At 54.5% G+C, this 18,739-nt stretch overlaps 1 protein-coding gene across 8 annotated transcripts in view, besides 6 other annotated features; it reads left to right on the forward strand.

Annotated features, from left to right (window-relative positions):
• ATG4B (autophagy related 4B cysteine peptidase) overlaps positions 1-17,246 on the forward strand; it is a 36,165-nt gene extending 18,919 nt beyond the window's left edge. For 4 of the 8 annotated variants that reach the window (XM_005246992.5, XM_047443738.1, XM_047443742.1 and 1 more), the window contains 6 exons: positions 2,497-2,576; positions 10,034-10,227; positions 11,532-11,610; positions 11,929-12,074; positions 14,115-14,171; positions 14,701-17,246. In XM_005246992.5, the coding sequence (XP_005247049.2) occupies positions 2,497-2,576; positions 10,034-10,227; positions 11,532-11,610; positions 11,929-12,074; positions 14,115-14,171; positions 14,701-14,934 (790 nt within the window). In that variant the 3' untranslated portion in view covers positions 14,935-17,246. The remainder of the gene's footprint in view (positions 1-2,496; positions 2,577-10,033; positions 10,228-11,531; positions 11,611-11,928; positions 12,075-14,114; positions 14,172-14,700) is intronic. The other 4 variants (NM_013325.5, XM_047443739.1, XM_047443741.1 and 1 more) reach the window with 2 other exon arrangements.
• Positions 865-1,640: an enhancer, noted in NCBI's record as "H3K4me1 hESC enhancer chr2:242596891-242597666 (GRCh37/hg19 assembly coordinates)". NCBI's record gives its function as "activates a minimal SCP1, AML or CMV promoter by ChIP-STARR-seq in naive H9 embryonic stem cells {active_cell/tissue: H9 hESC(naive)}" and the evidence as "EXISTENCE:reporter gene assay evidence [ECO:0000049][PMID:30033119]".
• Positions 4,013-4,514: an enhancer, noted in NCBI's record as "H3K4me1 hESC enhancer chr2:242600039-242600540 (GRCh37/hg19 assembly coordinates)". NCBI's record gives its function as "activates a minimal SCP1, AML or CMV promoter by ChIP-STARR-seq in naive H9 embryonic stem cells {active_cell/tissue: H9 hESC(naive)}" and the evidence as "EXISTENCE:reporter gene assay evidence [ECO:0000049][PMID:30033119]".
• Positions 4,515-5,014: an enhancer, noted in NCBI's record as "H3K4me1 hESC enhancer chr2:242600541-242601040 (GRCh37/hg19 assembly coordinates)". NCBI's record gives its function as "activates a minimal SCP1, AML or CMV promoter by ChIP-STARR-seq in naive H9 embryonic stem cells {active_cell/tissue: H9 hESC(naive)}" and the evidence as "EXISTENCE:reporter gene assay evidence [ECO:0000049][PMID:30033119]".
• Positions 8,873-9,478: an enhancer, noted in NCBI's record as "H3K4me1 hESC enhancer chr2:242604899-242605504 (GRCh37/hg19 assembly coordinates)". NCBI's record gives its function as "activates a minimal SCP1, AML or CMV promoter by ChIP-STARR-seq in naive H9 embryonic stem cells {active_cell/tissue: H9 hESC(naive)}" and the evidence as "EXISTENCE:reporter gene assay evidence [ECO:0000049][PMID:30033119]".
• Positions 11,573-12,074: an enhancer, noted in NCBI's record as "H3K4me1 hESC enhancer chr2:242607599-242608100 (GRCh37/hg19 assembly coordinates)". NCBI's record gives its function as "activates a minimal SCP1, AML or CMV promoter by ChIP-STARR-seq in naive H9 embryonic stem cells {active_cell/tissue: H9 hESC(naive)}" and the evidence as "EXISTENCE:reporter gene assay evidence [ECO:0000049][PMID:30033119]".
• Positions 12,075-12,574: an enhancer, noted in NCBI's record as "H3K4me1 hESC enhancer chr2:242608101-242608600 (GRCh37/hg19 assembly coordinates)". NCBI's record gives its function as "activates a minimal SCP1, AML or CMV promoter by ChIP-STARR-seq in naive H9 embryonic stem cells {active_cell/tissue: H9 hESC(naive)}" and the evidence as "EXISTENCE:reporter gene assay evidence [ECO:0000049][PMID:30033119]".
• Positions 17,247-18,739: the final 1,493 nt, after the last annotated feature.

Genomic DNA, 18,739 nt, shown 5'->3' on the forward strand with positions numbered 1-18,739 from the left:
TGCAAGTGCTGTGGCACTCAGGCACATGGACGGCTTCCAGGGCTGATTTGTCCCTGGACTCCAAGCTCAGGTCCAGCTGCTTATTCTGCATTTCCACCTGGGTATCTGTGTGCATGGTGACCTGACAGCCAGAGCCCGTGCTGGCCCCAGCCTGCTTCTCCTACAGTGGTCCTTCAGGTGCTCAAACCAAAATCTGGGATTGTTCTAGACCCCTCTTTTTGAGACGGAGTCTCGCTCTGTCGCCAGGCTGGAGTGTAGTGGCATGATCTCTGCTCAGAATCCCAAGTGATTCTCCTGCCTCAGCCTCCCGAAGTGCTGGGATTACAGGCGTGAGCCACCGTGCCTGGCCAGGACTCCTCTCTTTTTTCTTTTTTTTTGAGACAGTCTAGCTCAGTAGCCTGGGCTGGAGTGCAGTGGTGCAATCTTGGGCTCACTGCTTCCTCCACCTCCTGGGTCCCGGTTCAAGCAGTTCTCCTGCCTCAGCCTCCCCAGTACCTGGAATTACAGGCACCCGCCACCATGCCCAGCTAATTTTTTCAATTTTTAGTAGAGATGGGGTTTCACCATGTTGGCCAGGCTGGTCTTGAACTCCTGACCTCGTGATCCACCTGCCTTCGCCTCCCAGAGTGCTGGGATTACAGGCGTGAGCCACCGCGCCTGGCCAGGACTCCTCTCTTTCTTTTTTTTTTTTTTATTTTTTTTCCGAGACAGAGTCTAGCTCTGTAGTCCAGGCTGGAGTGCAGTGGTGCAATCTTGGGCTCACTGCTACCTCCGCCTCCCGGGTCCCAGTTCAAGCAATTCTCCTGCCTTAGCCTCTTCAGTAGCTGGGATTATAGGCACATGCCACCATGCCCAACTAATTTTTGTATTTTTAGTGGAGACAAGGTTTCACCATGTTAGCCAGGCTGGTCTTGAACTCCTGACCTCGTGATCCACCTGCCTCATCCTCCCAAAGTGCTGGGATTACAGGCATGAGCCACCGCTCCTGGCCAATTCCTCTTTATTTCAGTGGGCCCATTCAAAATATCAATTCCTCTTTCTTTCAGTGGGCCCATTCAAAATATGTCCAGACTCTGACCAGTGTTCATCCTTTCACTCCCTGTGCTGGTCCCAGCCCCATCTTCTTCTTTCTTGTTGATCTTCCTTCTCTCTTTGTCATCCTAGAGTCTCTTTAGCAAATAACAGCAGAGCCATCTGCATAAAACATATTGGCCACTGCTCTGCCTTGAACCGCCCTGGCTCTTCACTGCTGACTCAGGCGGGGCTCTACCCGACCTCCCTGGCATGACACGTTGTGCTCCTGGGACACACCAGCCTCAGGGCCTTTGCATGTGTGGTGCCTGGCACTTGGACCCTGTTCCCCCGACACCTGCCTGGGTTGCGCCCCATGTCTGCCCAGGTACCCTTTGGCACCAAGGTCTTCCCTGTGGCTACGTTAGTAGTGCCACTCCCCGTTCCTGCGTTACTGTTCTCTGCAGTGTTGACCACCGGCCCACGTGGCTGCTGCTTCCTTGTTTGCCCTCCGCCAGGTCAGCTTTGCCAGTGCTGCTGTGTCCCTTGTGTGTGGGTGCGTCTTCGGCACTGCATCTGGGCTAGAGGTGGGAGGAGGAAGGTGGTGTGGGAGTGGGGCGGGGAAGCAGGCTGTCCTCCCATCTTCAGCACTGCAGCTGGGCTGGAGATGGGAGGAGGAAGGTGGTGGGGCAGGGGGGCAGTGGGGGGCAGGCTGTCCTCCCAGTGTCCCCCCTGGGCTTGTGCATTGGGAGGGGCTCTGTGTGGTCACCCCAGTCCCCTGCTCCACCCCCACCCAGCTCCCCTCCACAGGTCTTGCATTCTGTCCCCGGGAGCACCAGGTCTTTGCTGCCTCAGGGCCTTTTCTATTGTTTTACCTTTTGTTGAGGTCCTCTGACCCCACCTCCGCCAGACCTGAGATGAGATCAGAGTCGTGTTAGACTTTTGGCTGCAGAATCTGCCCTTCCCTCAGAAGGGGAAATCCAAGGCCATGGTTCCTCCTCACTGGCGTGCACAGTCGTGCTTCCCACTAAGCTGCAGATTTCTCTATAAGGACTCAGATTCCTTGGTTGTCAGCTCAGCGTGTTTGGTGGAGGGGAGAGCAGAGCAGAGCGTGAAGGTGCTGGGAGGCCTGCCTCAAAGTTGGCAAAACCCACAGCGTCTCAGAGCTGCGTTCATGTTCTAGTTCCTGCCTCTGTGCCAGTGAGACCAGAAAACCAGGCCACTCAAAAGCCTCTTGCGTGTGCTCTCTATGAATGGAGGCTGGGGCAAGGGCAGGACCCCTGGGCCTCAGGCGAGAAGAAGCAGATTTACCCTCAGCTTTCTTCCTGTCTGTGGCATTGGCTGTGCCCCGGATTTTAGGAGCCTTGGCCCTTCTCATCCGAGAAGCACCTCTAACGCGAACCCTCCTTCGCGCAGCTATAGCTGCAAAGATGAACCGTCTTTGAATTGTACAAAAGCTTATGGTCATTCTCCTACTCTCTGTAGGAAGCTTGCTGTCTTCGATACGTGGAGCTCCTTGGCGGTCCACATTGCAATGGACAACACTGTTGTGATGGAGGAAATCAGTAAGTGGCTCAGAGTTTCCATGGACAAGAAAGTTGAAATCACGGGCAACATACACACTTCCTCGCCTGAGTCCCCACGGGAGCCTCGGCGAGTGTTGTCAGTCGCCCCATGCCGTGCAGGTGCTCCGTGGGGCCTGTGCGCCAAGCCAGATGCACGGTGGCCTCGCTCTCCTATCCCGGCGGTCATACCAAGAGAGGAGAGCCCAGGCTGTCTGGAGGCCGCGACTTGGTATCTCACGTCGTGTTTTGTGTCTTGGTTACAAATCGTTTATGAAGGCCCTGCTGTGCTTAGGCGCCCTCGTGTGGGAATTCTGGTGAAGTTATTTTGCGTGCCTTGATGTGCGACAGAGAGATGTAGCAACCATCTCTAGCTGCACCATCTCGAGCAAAGGCACGTCGTGAAGGCAGAGCTCTTTTCAGCTTTCTGGAAGAAAGGTCTGCTGCAACCCTGAAGGAACCTGGGCGTGGCAACATTTACATCTAGGAGGAAAACTGTGGCTCAGTTTTAACAAATGGGCTCATTGAGTGAGTTCCAAATTCATGTTTCACCTTCCATGATGTAGCCAAGCTGAGAACTCTTAAAAATGCCTCATTGCCTTTTTCACTCAGGGCCACCTTTTTCCCAAGGAACTTCTCAAAACTCCCTCAATTCCAATTTTATTGAAGTTCTACATGTAGGCTATTGCCTTGAATCCAATTTTCCATAAGAAAGAGCTCATTTAGGCCGGGCGCGGTGGCTCATGCCTGTAATCCCAGCACCTTGGGAGGCCGAGGTGGGTGGATCATGAGGTCAGGAGTTCAAGACCAGCCTGGCCAACATGGTGAAACCCCGTCTCTACTAAAAATACAGAAACTAGCTGGGCATGGTGGCACGCGCCTATAGTCCCAGCTACTCGGGAGGCTGAGGCAGAAGAATCGCTTGAACCTGGGAGGCGGAGGTTGCAGTGAGCCTTGATCACGCCACTGCACTCCAGCCTGGCCACAGAGCGAGAATCCGTCCCCCGCCCCCCAAAAAAAAGACCTCATTCAGAGCCACAGCCGTAACTGCGCACAGATTCACAGTGGGAGTGGGTCCTGCCCTGTGACTGTGGGTGTGCCAGGTCACCACACAGGTGTGTGCTGGGTCACAGACACGCCCCTTCCCTGCCTCTCCATTCTGTTTCTTCATCGTCTGGCCATCCTCGGGGGCATTGTGACACAGCGGAGGGAGTGAGGCAGGACTTTATAAGGGAGAGTGAGGCTGGCTTCTGCAGCATTGAGAGCTTTGCCACAGCAGGCTCTCCTTCCAGGATTCTGTTCCTCAGAGACTTGAACTTGGGATCATAACCAAAGGGTGTTTGTTTCTTCCATCTGCCTTTTTCCTCCATTCTGTTTCTTGAAATTTTTATAAAACATTGGAAACACAGGAAGAGTACAAAGAAAGAGAAAAATTATTGATTTTACCACTCAGAAATAACTCATATGAGCATTTTGACATTCTTACTCTCAGTATTTCTCCTGTGCTTTTCAAAAACTTACATAGTTTCCTAAGTATTTTCTCCTGGCCATGAGTGACAGCATTGTAATTATTAACTGGCTACACAATATACTATTATACCTTAGTTCCCTGTTCACTGCCCCATCCTCCCTCCCGTGTTTGGGGAAATCACTTACCCCCTCGTTCCGCACGCGTGCTCAGGATCTCACCAAGTCACACCTCAGTCCCTGGCCTCGGATTAGGGAGGCTGTTGCTGGGTGCAGTGGCCAGGAAGGCGCAAGGGTCAGGGCTTCCTAGAACCTCCGTCCCTCTGGGTGCAGGTAGCACTGGTGGGAGTGTTGGGGGCAGCTTGTCTGTGTGGACTCCAGCTCCGTCCCTTCGGGAGTCTCAGGGCTGCCCAAAGCAGTGCTGCTGAAACGTGGCTTGTCAGAGTGAGAGTGGAGTCAGGTCCTGGAAGAGCTTGAATCTGCATTTCCCAGCCCCTGGGGATGGTGGCTCCCGGGAGGATGTGGAGGCTGCCTGGTCTGACTGGCTTCGTCTCACTGCGTCAGCTGCCTGAAAGGACACTGTTCCTCACAGGAGCATGTGGAAGGTGCCTGATGCCCCCATTTAGGAAGAAAGGCATCCACATCCAGCCAGCAAAGGCACTGGCATTGATGCACAAGGCTTGGGTTTCTGGGTTCCTGAGTGTGGCGTGGTGTTGTGAGGAGGACATCGGGGTCGTTCTGAATGACCCCTACCAAAAGCCCCAGGAGGGAGTAGTGGGGGGAGGGCAGGAAGCAGGCTGCTTTTTTCAGTCGTGCTGCTAAGAGTGCGCAAGGGAGGACGTCTGAGGAAGAAGTCCGCAAAGCCGAAGCTAGAGAAACAGACGTGTCCTTGGCTAAGCAAGGACTTTTCTTCTAGTTTCTCGGAACTGCTTGTGGAAGGAGCAGTTAGATAGGAGAAGACTGATGCCATTCAGAAATTCCACTAAAGCTTCTTCCTGCAGCGAAAGAGCTGCCTGACGGTGTTCCCACTCAGATTTTAGGTGAAGCCTGTGGGGTAAGGGGAGACCTTACTGCCTACAGTGTCCCCATCCACCAACCCATCCCCCCCGCAACTCATCCTTCTGTCCACCCCCAGTCAAAGGCCAGCCAGGACATCCTTAGCATGCTCTTCTTGTCCTTAACGTTGATGGGCTTAGACCTTTCTAACGACAGTAGACAGAATGTCACTGAATGTAGGGAGGAAATACAGATTGGAAAACGTGTCAGTCTGGCAGTGAGGACAAATGACTCCAATGAAAGAAAAGTAAATACCAGAGCAAGCACAGTCAGAAACAGAGTGGGGAGGAGAATCACAATAGCTGGAACTCAACTCTCTGAGAGGCAGTGCAGCCAAATAGAGGCAGCTGAGAGCAGAGTATGTGGATTAGAACTTTTCGGGAGAGTTGGCCACTGAAGGAGTAGGAGAAAATTCCCCTGAGTTGGTGAGAGTTGAGTCTTTAGAGCTAAAGACCCCCAAATTTTTTTATCAGAAGTACTTAAACATACATGTTCCTGATAATATTTCCAAATTGCAGAAGTAAAGGGAAACTTCTCTAAACATCCAAATAATAGTATCACTACTAAGCTGCTTTGAAGAAAGGCAGTCTCAACTGGCCTGGGCATCTCATCTTTGTGCCATACCAAATGCTACTGGAAAATGTTTAGAATTCTGAGAAAAGACCTGGCTTCATGAGGTGAGAGTAGGTATGTGTACTGTGTAGTTGTCATTGATAGAGAAATATAAATTTTAAATGTGTTCAAAATATAAAGAGAACACGAGAAAATTTCAGGTGGTGGCAGGAATAGGCAAAAGCCCGTTGCACCCTGTTGACAGCAGGGTGTTTGTGACGTGGTAGGTCACACACTCAGTGCTGGGCTCTGGAGGCACAGAAGCAACCGGCCCAGCTACGCATCAGCCCTTGAGCCGATTCATGTGTTCGATCATATTCCTGAGACAGTAGGGTCTGTGCAGGTAACAAAGCACCAGTCAGCAGGAAACTCACCACCGGGAAGCCTTTCTATCAAAACATAACTTCAAAATCAGTAAAGTGGGCCGGGCATGGTGGCTCACGCCTATAATCCCAACTTCAAAATCAATAAAGCGGGCCGGGCGCGGTGGCTCACGCCTATAATCCCAACTTCAAAACCAATAAAGTGGGCCGGGCGCGGTGGCTCACGCCTATAATCCCAACTTCAAAATCAATAAAGCGGGCCGGGCATGGTGGCTCACGCCTATAATCCCAACTTCAAAACCAATAAAGCGGGCCGGGCGCGGTGGCTCACGCCTATAATCCCAGCACTTCGGGAGGCCAAGGTGGGTAGATCACATGAGGTCAGGAGTTAAAGACCAGCCTGGTCAACATCGTAAAACCCCATGTCTACTAAAAAAAAAGTTAGCTGGGCATGGTGGCACGCCCTCGTAATCCCAGCTGCTCGGGAAGCTGAGGCACGAGAATTGCTTGAACCTGGGAGGCAGAGGCTACAGTGAGCTGAGATCATGCCACTGCACTCCAGCCTGTGTGACACAGTAAGACTGTGTCTCAAAAAACCAAAACAACAAAAAATAATAAAAATATATAGAAAACAGAATAATTAACAGATTAGCTATGGAAAGATCAAAGCTACAGGGGACCCAGATAACACAACAGGCAGAGTTTAGTAGATACGTGTCAAACCCTAGATTGTGACAGCAGAGTGTGCCTGGGAATTTCTATGAAACTAATGCGGAATAAAATGAAAAAAGGACAAAACCCTGCTGCCTGGAAATGTGAAACCTCAAAAAAGTCAAGTGTAGAGACCGTAACTATGTATCTGAACCTGATGTGTACAGAACTCAGAAGAAAACCTGTGTATCTTCAGTACTAGTATATGGGTTCTTTACAAAGTGAAAATTAATGAAATAAGCATACAACTCAAGAATTCGGAAAAAGCAAAATTAACTGAAGAAACCAAAGAATAATATTAAAGACAAATACAGAAATTAATGATTTAAAGGAAGAAATGTATTAGGCCAGGTGTAGTGGCTCATGTTTGTAATCCCAGCACTTTGTGAGGCTGAGGCAGGAGGATTGCTTAAAGCCAGGAATTCAAGACCAGCCTGGGCAACATAGCCAGACGTCTATTTTTTTTTTTTTTTTGGAACAGTTCTGCTCTGTCGCCAGGCTGGAGTGCAGTGGTGGCACGATCTTGGCTCACTGCAATTTCCGCTGCCCAGGTTCAAGTGATTCCCCTGCCTCAGCCTCCTGAGTAGCTGAGACTACAGGTGCATGCCACCACGCCTGGCTAATTTTTTGTATTTTAGTGGAGATGGGGTTTCACCATATTTCACCATGTTGGCCAGGATGGTCTTGATCTCCTGACCTCATGATCTGCCCACCTTGGCCTCCCAGAGTGCTGGGATTACAGGCGTGAGCCACCGTGCCTGGACCTCATTCTATAAAATATTTTAAAAATAAATTTTAAAATTAAATTTATTAGAACTAACACATACTAGAACTGGCTCTTTGAAGCAATAACATATATGTTTTAAAAAAATCAAAGTTAAAATCCCTCCCTTGGCTAAGCACTGTGGCTCCCGCCTGTAATCCTAGCACTTTGGGAGGTGGAGGCAGGCAGATTGCTTGAGTCCAGGAGTTTGAGACCAGCCGCCTAGGTAACATGGTAAAACCTCATCTCTACAAAAAAACAAAACAAAAAAACTAGCCGGACATGGGGGCATGTACCTGTAGTCCCACCTACTCGGGAGTCTGAGGTGGGAGGATCCCATGAGCCTGGGAGGTTGAGGCTGCAGTGAGACATGATTGCACCACTTCACTCCAGCCTGGGTGACACAGTAAGACCCTGTCTCAAAAACCAAACAGAAACCCAAACAACTCCCTTAAGGCTGGGCGTGGTAGCTCCTACCCATAATCGCACCTCTCAGGGAGGCTGAGTTGGAGGATTGCTTGAGACCAACCTGGACAACTCCCTCTCTATAAGAAATAGAAAAATGAGGCCAGGCACATGGCTCATGTCTGTAATCTCAGCACTTCGGGAGGCTGAGGTGAGCAGATCACTTGAGGTCAGGAGTTCGAGACCAGCCCGGCCAATGTGGCAAAACCCCGTCTCTACTAAAAATACAAAAATTAGCTGGGCGTGGTGACACACACCTGTAATCCCAGCTACTGGGGAGGCTGAGGCAGGAGAATTGCTTGAGCCCAGAAGGCGGAGGTTGCAGTGAACCGAGATTATGCCACTGCACTCCAGCCTGGACAACAGAGAATCGGCTTCAAAAAAGAAAAGTCAGGGGGCACAGTGGCCCACACCTGTTGTTCCAGCTACTCGGGAGGCTGAGGCGGGAGGATTGCTTAAGTGCAGGTGTTTGAGGCTGCAGTGAGCTGTGGTTGCACCACTGCACTGCAGCCTGGGTGACAGAGTGAGACCCCGTCTCTAAAAGAAATTTAAAAAGTTCTGTCTCAGAATCCTTGTTTTCCAGCTGTCTGTTTTGAGAAATTTGAGTCCTACAAAAAAGTTCAGTGAGTCATGGCCACAAACCCTCCACCTAGATCCACCAATTGTGTTTTGACACGCTTGGTTTTTATGAGCAAGCCTCCTACGAATGAGAGTGTTCCTGAGAGCCACACAGCCTCATCACCACAAAAGAGGTGACGCCACGACTCACCAGGGTCCGTCTTGGCCCCTTGCTGTCCAGGGAACAACCCGTGCCGCTGATTTGTGTTCCTGGTTGAGGGTCCGGTGCTGTGTGTATATAGTTGTGATGTCTTTCTAGTCTTTAATTGAGAAGGTTCTGCCTCTTTGTTGTGGTTGTTGCTGCTTTGTGGCATTTTTGACGAGTTCAGGTCAGCTGACCATCCCACACGCTGGATTTGTCTGCTTCCTCACAGTTGGGCTTGGGTTGAGCCTGTGGCTGAGAGTAGCCTCTGGGTGGCAGTGTCCTCTGCTCTCCCATCCGGGGCCTGCAGTGGGACACTATGTCAGATCCCCGGAGATGGTGTCTTTTTTCCTTTGTAATTAATGAATAATCCAGTGGTGACACTGAGCATGTCCTGGTGAGCTGTGTGACTCCTGCCTGATAATGGTGGTTTTTCTAGCCTGTCCTTTCCTTTCACGTTTATTGGTTGGCGTTCTGAGAAGAGCCGCCTTTTCTCCCATCACTTAGTGTGCAGTGTGCTACCTGTCACCTGTCTGTCACCTGTCAGTCACTGTCACCTGTCACTGTCACTGTCACCTGTCACTGTCCATCTTTTTGATGCTTGACGGTTCCACCTTTGGCCGGTGGCCACCTCAGTCTGGTGGTGTCTTTTGCCGTGTTCTGGCGTTTTTCGTTTATGTTTTGAGCCCTCCCTTATGTTCTGGGTTAAGCAGATGCTGCAGGCACCTCTGAACATTCCCTGCCTGGCCCTGGAATCAGCCTGGCTCCTCTGAGTGGGGAGTGGTGTTGAGAAACCTCGATCTAGACGCCGGGCATGCTCCATGCTCCCGGAGTGTCTTCTCCCATCACCGCACCCTCCGGTTGATGTGTCCTCCGGACCATTGACTCACGGGTGTGTGTAGGCAGAAGGGGTGGAAGCGAGGAAAGGCGTTGCTGAGGAGGCCCGGAGGGAGCGGGTTCTGGCTGTGCTGGCACTAGCCAGGCTGGCAGGCTGCGTGGGTACTTCTGTGATTTTCCTCTCAAGTGCACGTGGCTTTTTCTTGCACTGTTTCGTGTGTGTGCTTTATTTCACAATAAAACTCTTGAATTAAGTATGCATAGAAACTATTTCTTTTTTCTCTGGGTGGCAAGATTATGAAAAAATTTTCTTACGCTTTTCTATATTTTCCAAGTTTGAATTTCACTGTAAGCACCTGGCTTTGTACCGCCCTTTTTCTGTTACACAGTCATCATTTGCTTGCTTGTTGTGGGAGCACTTTTGCACAGGTCTGCTTGGTTAGTGAAAGCATGTCTCCCTTTCTAGGAAGGTTGTGCAGGACCAGCGTTCCCTGTGCAGGCGCCACTGCGTTTCCTGCAGATTCCGACCGGCACTGCAACGGATTCCCTGCCGGAGCTGAGGTCACCAACAGGCCGTCGCCATGGAGACCCCTGGTACTTCTCATTCCCCTGCGCCTGGGGCTCACGGACATCAACGAGGCCTACGTGGAGACGCTGAAGGTGGGTCCTGCCGTGCGGCGCTTGCCCTGAGTCCCCGTCCCCTTCTCCCAGTTCTTAGTCACTTTCAGCGCATCGTCGTCACGTGGCCATTTGTGCAGCCGGCTCTCGGGGGAGGGGTAAACAACCCTGGTTTACACCGTTGCCCAAGGGGTGAGTGGGCGTGAGGCACGTCCATCAGTAGGCACGTGCTGCTTTCGTTCTGCAAGTGTCAAGGCGAGTGTCGAGGATGAAAGCATGAGGCGCTTGCAGGGGGTCCTTGGAACCAGGTGCCACTCCTCGGCCTGACGGGGAGCCCCGCCCCCTCCCGGGTCTCCACTGTGCCCCAGGCATGCCCACCCCACTCCCCCACAGCCCTCTTGGCCTGAGGTCCCTTCGGAGGGTGGGTTGGCCTGTGAGGAAGGGACGTGTGGGCAGGGCCTGGGGATGGGCAGGGCTGTGTGAGGAGCTCCAGCCACAGGCTCCCCCATGTCATGAAAGCAAAAGGGGGCGGGGAGCGGTGGCTCATGACTGTAATCCCAGCACTTTGGGAGGGCAAAGCGGGCAGATCACGAGGTCAGGAGTCTGAGACCAGCCTGGCCAACATGGTGAAACCCTGTCTCTACTAAAAATATAAAAATTAGCCGGGCATGGTGGTGCGCGCCTGTAGTCCCAGCTACACAGGAGGCTGAGGCAGGAGAATCTCTTGAACCCAGGAGGCGGAGCTTGCAGTGACCCGAGATCATGCCATTGCACTCCATCCTGGGTGACAGAGTGAGACTCCATCTCAAATAAAAAAAAAAAAAAAGCAAGCAGAAGGGAAAACCATCCTTTCTTCAGGTAACTCAAATTTTAGACCAAGGAGTCACATTTGTATGGAACTGAAATGTGGCTTCCTGTTAAAATTATTCAGTTGTCTGAACTTGGCCCCTCCGTCCAGCCTTCTGCCCATCCTGTGGGGTCTCAGCTGCCCCCACACATAGGCCCCGTCTCCATCGCTTCTGCCCTGTCAGGTCAAAGCACTCAGCAGGGCCACCTCCCGCACCCCTGCTCACATCTCCTGCCAGGCCCCCTCACTCCCGGCCTCCCCAAAGCCCACCTCTGACATGAAGCTTCCCTGAGCTGAGCCTGCAGATTGGGTTTCTTGTGCCTGTGGGATGTCCTGTGGTCTTTCCTGGACAGTAAGCTCTTTGGTACCATGTCCCCTCCTGTCCCCTCTTGTGTCACCCAGTTGGGCCTCAGCAGGCCCTTGGGCCCCCTATGGCAGTGGGTGGGGGGACCGTCTGCTCCCACCTGGGACCTGTGCTCAGTCCCCCGCCCCTCCACAGCACTGCTTCATGATGCCCCAGTCCCTGGGCGTCATCGGAGGGAAGCCCAACAGCGCCCACTACTTCATCGGCTACGTTGGTGAGTCCAGGGTTCCCACCGTGTCCCTGTGGGCCTGGGCCTTTTAAGGGCATTCCATGAGCAGGTACCACACCCCAGGTGACCACTTGAGGCCACTGGTGGAAAAGCAGCATGCCCTGGGGTTCATTTTCAGCCTGGTCGCGGGCGGCCTCCTGTGTGCCCCTTTCCCTGATGGTCTGGTGCCCTCGGCTCCCTCCCCACCTCCTGCCCACTGCTTCTCAGTGTGATGTGGGTGCAGTGGGTCTGAAATGCGGCCTCCTCTGTCCCTTTCCTCTGCCGGCTCGGCCACCCACCTGCCCACCTGCCTCATCCTCCCAGGTGAGGAGCTCATCTACCTGGACCCCCACACCACGCAGCCAGCCGTGGAGCCCACTGATGGCTGCTTCATCCCGGACGAGAGCTTCCACTGCCAGCACCCGCCGTGCCGCATGAGCATCGCGGAGCTTGACCCGTCCATCGCTGTGGTACGTGGCGGCCACCTGAGCACACAGGCATTTGGTGCTGAATGCTGTTTGGGAATGACGAGGAAAACTTTCGGATTTTTGCGTTTTTTTTTTCAGCATGTTGGGATAAGTACTGTGTTCACGTGGTTGGGAATCTGAAGGGTATAAGAGCCGGAACTGTGTCCTTGCACCCTCACGTCCCTCCCCCAGGCACCACCTCCTGTGCAGCCTTCATGGCCTTCGAGTGGCCCAGAGAGCGTGTGTCTGGATGTGAGCGTGTGTGGGCGCGTGCTGAGTGTGCATGGATGAGTGTGAGCCATGGTGAGTGTGTCCCCCTCACACCTACATTTAAACACACGGGCGGCCCCTCCACCCACCCCTGCACCACCTTCGTCACACCCACATTTAAACACGGGCGGCCCCTCCACCCACCCACTCCTGCACCACCTTTTGTTTTCCGGAGGCTCTGACTTGACCTCTCTGGGGGATTTCCTAAGAAGGAGCTTCCCTGTTTTTCCATTTTGATTACCTAGTTGTGATTTTTGGTGTGTGATTTATGCAGACCTGCCTGCCCTCAAATATATTTGATGGGGAAAGAGGCCAAAAAACCCCCCTAGAAATCATGAATGACGGTGACATGCTCAGGGAAGCAGTTAACCGAATCGGGGGCTCTGTTGTGGATGCTCCGCCCCATTTAGGAGGAAGAAGGCAGATCTGGGCCTGAAATGGGACGGTCTCTGAGCTGTGGCGCAGCCCCAGAGTGCACACCACGCTCCATGCACCTCCTGGGCAGGGTGGCAGTAGTGGGGAACATGGGCTGGAGCTCTGTGGCTCACACTTTTTGTTTGTTTGTTTGTTTTTGAGACGGAGTCTCACTCTGTCGCCCAGGCTGGAGTGCAGTGGCACGATCTCGGCTCACTGCAAGCTCCGCCTCCCAGGTTCACGCCATTCTCCTGCCTCAGCCTCTGGATTAGCTGGGACTACAGGCACCCGCCACCACGCCTGGCTAATTTTCTGTATTTTTAATAGAGACGGGTTTTCACTGTGTTAGCCAGGATGGTCTTGATCTCCTGACCTCATGATCCACCCACCTCGGCCTCCCAAAGTGCTGGGATTACAGGCGTGAGCCACTGCGCGCAGCCTGGCGCACACTTCTTACCAGAACCTAGTCACGAATTCCTCGTCGAACTAGAATTAGGTATGTTTGTTACTGTAAACGCAGCTTGGTGGCTTACAGTGATTGGCACTCTAACAGTCAGGTCAGGCTAGAGAGCCAGCCACCGCAGACAGAGGAGTGGACGCGTGAACGTTGAGTTGAGACCAAAGGGGCCACCTGGTGGGATAACTGTCCTCACCCGTGAGGAGGAGGAATGTCCCCTGTCCCCGGGGGAGAGTGCTCCTACACCAGCGCCGAGGCGGCAGAATGGTGTCTTCAGGGGAAGAGAGTGCCCAGTTTGAGCTTCTCCCCCCATTTCGTTTCTTTTTGTGTTAACATCTGCGCATCTGGCAGCGTTGAGAATTCCTAGTGACTGTCATTACAGGCGGCAGCTTTAAGGATGTGATTGCCGGTGACCCTTGGCCGGTCCCCTGTCTCCTGGCTCCTCAGCAGGAGGCTCCCTGTGTCACGGTGTCCTTGGGCAGTTCTCGGTGGCCTTTGCCGCCAAGCTTCCAGGGAGCTGCTGGGCGAAGGCTGAGACCCAGCGGCCCTGCCTCACAGTCACAGAGAGAAGAGCTCCCCACTTGGCCCTAACTCATAACCTGCCCCAATCCCGGAACACTCGGTGAGGTTTGAGAGATGCACACCACGTAACATCTCGTGGGCGAATCAAGGCACAGCAACGCAGTGGAGCCTGAGGGGAGCCGGGCACTGGTGCAGGGGACCATGCACAGGGCACCCTCGGAGCTCCGTTCCTGGCCACAGGAGCCAAGGCAGGCTGGAATGTCCAGCACCTGCATGCTGGGGGCCTCTGCTGCGCCACTGGCAGTGGGAATGGAAGCCCCCACCTCTTAGCCGACTGCAGATGGGGGTGTCGTGTTCTGCTCATCGTCATTTCGTTTTAGGGGTTTTTCTGTAAGACTGAAGATGACTTCAATGATTGGTGCCAGCAAGTCAAAAAGGTTTGTAGCCGCCCCACACCCACAGCCGAGCTGAGCCACCCAGGGAGACAGGCAGTGGGGCGTGCAGGGGTCGAAGGCCTGCGTCCAGGTCTCAGGCAGCCTCACTGGGCCGTGGGGAGCTTTGTCCCGCCTGGCACAGCTATGTAGCTGAGCAGGGTGGGGCGTCCTGGATTGCCCATCTGGCAACACAGTTAACAACCCTGGGGACGGATGTTGCGTGTTGACTTTAGAATGGGATTTCCAGTGTCCTCATCCGTCTCCTGTTGAGATGGGGGTGGTGATGGGGTGCTGAGCTACGCCGGCCGAGTGCGTGTGGCCCACCCCCCTCTGCCGTGGTGGTCAGACTGTGCTGTGTGTTGATCACCACACTGGGTTCTCGTGTAGCCTTTAGTGTGGAGCTGCCTCTGTTTTCTCATCAGTGAGATGGGATGACAGGTTTGTCCGCTGGCTGTGGCCGGCTGGCCCCTTTCTCTTGGCCGCAGCAAGCACTGGGGTGAGGCTGCACCTAACGGCCATGTCTCACTAACAGCTGTCTCTGCTTGGAGGTGCCCTGCCCATGTTTGAGCTGGTGGAGCTGCAGCCTTCACATCTGGCCTGCCCCGACGTCCTGAACCTGTCCCTAGGTGAGAGCTGCCAAGTCCAGGTGGGGTCCCTCGGAGGTACGATCTGTGCCCTTGCTTCCCCAGTCCTGGCCCCCTTGGTTTTGACCATTAAGGTGTGTGTGAGCCTGAGCCGTGAGCACTTGGCAGTGGTTCGCCTGTGAGACCAGGTATGGAGTGGAGCGTCCCCTCCTCCAAGCTTGCGCCCAGCAGCCCAGGACCCACCTCGTCTTCCCCACCAGCGCTGCCTGCCCGGGCGCTGTGGAGCTGGGCGTGCTACCATGGAGTCCTCAGGGGTCTGGAGCAGACAGAACATGCAGGCTCTGTGGTGACGCAGTCCTGGGTGGGGGACTGGTTCACTTGGGCACCACTGGCCATGGGTGGCGTAGACCCCTCGGACCATGGCCAGCGTGCCGCAGGAGCCGGCCTGGGCTCGTGCAGTGAAGTGAGTGGCCGTGAGCGCGTCCTCCTCATCTCTGTCTCCCTGTGGGAAACTCTACAAACAAGGCAATGGCAATGGAACCACTCCTGATGACCACGAGGGTCAGACGCGGGACAGAGGCCCCTCAGGCCTGAGATTGTGCCGGCCGCCCCCTGCCCTCCTCACCCTGCCCTGCTCCTCTTCTCTGCTCCCTCCCCCCATATTCGCAGGTCTGCACAACCCCCGGACCTGTTCACACCCGCATGGGGACAGCTGTCTGTGGGCTGCAGAGCAGGCACTGCTCAGTCTGCCCCACGCCAAGGGCCCTTGACTCACACCCAGGTGGCCCACCCAAGATGCCTGATGCGCTATGTCCTGTTCCTTCTAGATTCTTCTGATGTAGAGCGACTGGAAAGATTCTTCGACTCAGAAGATGAAGACTTTGAAATCCTGTCCCTTTGAAAATCCTGGGGTCGGGGGTGGCACCTGTGAGAGCCTGGGGCTCCTGGTGCCGCTGCGTTTCATCCATCCCGCCCGCTCGCCTGCCGAGGGCTGCGCCCCGTGCTGCCTCCCCCCAGAGGGCCACCCGCTGTGCTCGTGGACTGAGGCTGCGCTGCCCGGGAGGCCTTACTGCTTGGTGTCAGACTGCCCAGCTCAGAGTGCCCGTCAGGGCCTGTGCATCCGCACGCGGAGCCGTCTGTTAGGAGCTTCCAGAGTGTTCTCTCGACACTGCCAGCCCCGTGTTAGCACCTGGGCCTCAGTCCCACTTGCTCCCAGGCGCCGGTTCTGTGGTTGGTTTGGAATTAAAGTCCTGTTTGAAGTTGTCAGACACAGACATGAATTTCTGGGCGCTCCCTGAGTCAGAGTCTCAGAAGACCTGTGCAGGCTGGCGTGAGAGGAGCGGCAGCCACACTGCGGCCCCACGCCCAAGGACTGGGCTGCTCTCGAGGGGGGCGCGCCCACCGCTGTGTCCTCTCTGCCCAGCCTGGCTTACCAAGGGCTACCTCAGTGGGAGATGAGGTTGGAGGAACGAAGGCGAGGTTCCTCCTTGCTTTGGGGAGAAAAGTATTCAGGAAGTGGGTGTGTGGGAAACCTGAAGATGGCGTGCACAGGACACAGCGTGGGCGGCCTGGGCAGAAGGGCGGCTGGCTGTCCTGGAGCTGCTGCTGGAGCCTGCCCTCAGAGTGTCCCTTTCCAGTGCTGTGGCATTCTGTGGCAGCTTCCCCAGGTGTGGTGACGGGGGGGGGGCGGGGCCTCCACCTGTGACAGCCAGGCTTGAGGGTGGACGGCGTGCCTCTCCCAGGAGCCTTCCCCATGTCCTTGCCTTGCTGAGAATTGCCCTCCCATGCCGCTGAGGTGTTAGGTGGTTTAGGGCCAAAAGGGGAAAACCACTTGAGTCTTGTGGTGTGTGGTGGGCAGACACCACAGGGTGGCATCACCTGGTGGCATTTCCAGAACCTCAGCCCCGATTCCAGCACCCACCACCGCCTGACCCTGTGTAACCTGCTGTCCCGGGTCCCAGAGTGCACTCTGCCCCGCTGCTCTGCTGCCTGTCCTGGGAAAGTATCTTTGCCCCACTAGGAAATGTAAACAGGAGGGCTTGGGGAGCGTGGGCACTTTTCTCATGAGCAGCTACTGCGGCGTTGGCAGGACTCGCTGCTGCTGCTGCTGCTTGTGTAGGTCGGGGAGCCAGAGATCCCCGAGGACGCGCGCCGGACAGTCGGCACTGACCGGCCCACCTGGTAGCAGAGGACACCCCCAGCCCCCCAAGCATTGAAGACATAGTGTATTTCCTCGTATCCTTTCTCCCTTGGGTGTAGTTGGGGTGGGGAAGCAGGGAAGGCTGGTGCGATCTCCATTCCTTGGGCTCCACGTCCGAGTTCATGGTGCGCCGCTGTGCTGGGAGCTGCAGTGGTAATGTGTGGGACACCTTGACCAAAGGGGAGCTTTGTCTCGTGTGTTTTGAAAAAGGCTTAATGAAGAGAATGTTGTTCATTCTTAGTAGTATAGTTTGCAATTCTTAATGGCAAATAATAAGTTTCAGTAGAAAACAAACCTTGTGTCTATTTTTTCCTTAAGTTCTAATTGAATGTGAGTTCCAGAAAAAAAATAAGTGAATGTTTCAGCCCGTTCACACGTAAAGGATGTGGCTGCCTGCGTGGCGGGCTGTGGGGCCCTGAGCAGGTGTGTCCCCAGCCCTGGCAGGGGGCCTGTCCTGCCTGCAGCCTGGCTCTCTACCAGCCGTGGCATCAGCCACCTCATACAACCCTAGAAGGAAAAAGTGCAAGGAAAATAGGATTTTAGGAAAGTAAAATGGCGGTTCCCATCTTCAGCAGGAGGAAGTCACAGGAAGTGCCTGGAGTTGCAGGGTTTGCCTCGATTTGAATCATAGCAAAGCCTTCCCCAAGTGCGCAGTGACTGTCCTGGCCTGTGGGAGGCCATGCCTGGGGCACAGCAGGGGGCTTGGTGAGGACATTGCTCACTCTGGCCAGTGCATCCCTGTGGGCAGCCCTGGTATAGGTGTGAAGGGCCCAAAGCCAGATCGGAGGGGGCCCTGCTGGGTCCCCGGTGAGGTGGCTGAGGACTTGTGGCCTCTCCGATGCTCGTATTCGCTTCTTGTGGCTGCTCTAAAAGATGATCACATTCAGTGCCTGGAACAGCACAGCCTCTTCCAGACCCGGAGGGCAGACAGCCATATCGTGCTGTGGGCTCTAGGGGAGAACGTTGCTGTGCCTTTCTAGCTTCTGGATGCCAGAAACTGCTTGGCTCATGGCTCTTTCCTCCAACCACACAGCCAGCAACATGGCATCTCTCCAGCTTTTGCTGTTGGCATCTCATTTCCTGACTCGGACCGCCTGCCTCCCTGTTATGCGGACCCGTGATGGGCCAGGCATGGTGGCGCCAGCCTGTAATCCCAGCACTTTGGGAGGCTAAGGTGGATCACTTGAGCCCAGGAAAGAGAGGCTGCAGTGAGTCAAGATTGCACCACTGCACTCCAGCCTGGATGACAGAGTGAGACCCAGTCTTAAGACAACAAAAAAAGGCCCCTGTGATGACACTGGGCCCACCTGGATAGTCCAGGAAAGTCTCATCTGAAGGTTCCTCACCCAGGCCCATCCCACAGCCCCTGGCAATGCTTACCCAAGAGTGAAATCCTTTTGTTTTGCCTGGGTTTGTCTCTTGGCCACAGAAGGGTGCTGAGACCCACAGCTGCTGCCCCCACAGATGGGGGACCCTGCCTGCCTTCTACTCCAGCACACTGTATGCTGCTGTCTATGCGGAGTGTGCTCTGTGGGACAGATTCTGCCAGGAGTGTCAAATCATTCCTTCTAAGTGTCACTTAAAAGGGGATGCAATGGGCTCGGCATGGTGGCTCATGCCTGTACTCCCAGCACTTTGGGGAGGCCAAGGCAGGTAGATCACTTGAGCCCAGGAGTTTAAGACAAGCCTGGCTGGCAACATAGCGAAATCCTGTCTCCACAAAAAAATTACCCAGGCACAGTGAAGGCCTGTAGGCCTAGCTACTCAGGAGGCTGAAGTAGGAGGAT

Source organism: Homo sapiens, chromosome 2 (genome assembly GCF_000001405.40).
Source record: "Homo sapiens chromosome 2, GRCh38.p14 Primary Assembly".
In the NCBI taxonomy this organism is placed as follows: Eukaryota; Metazoa; Chordata; class Mammalia; order Primates; family Hominidae; genus Homo; species Homo sapiens.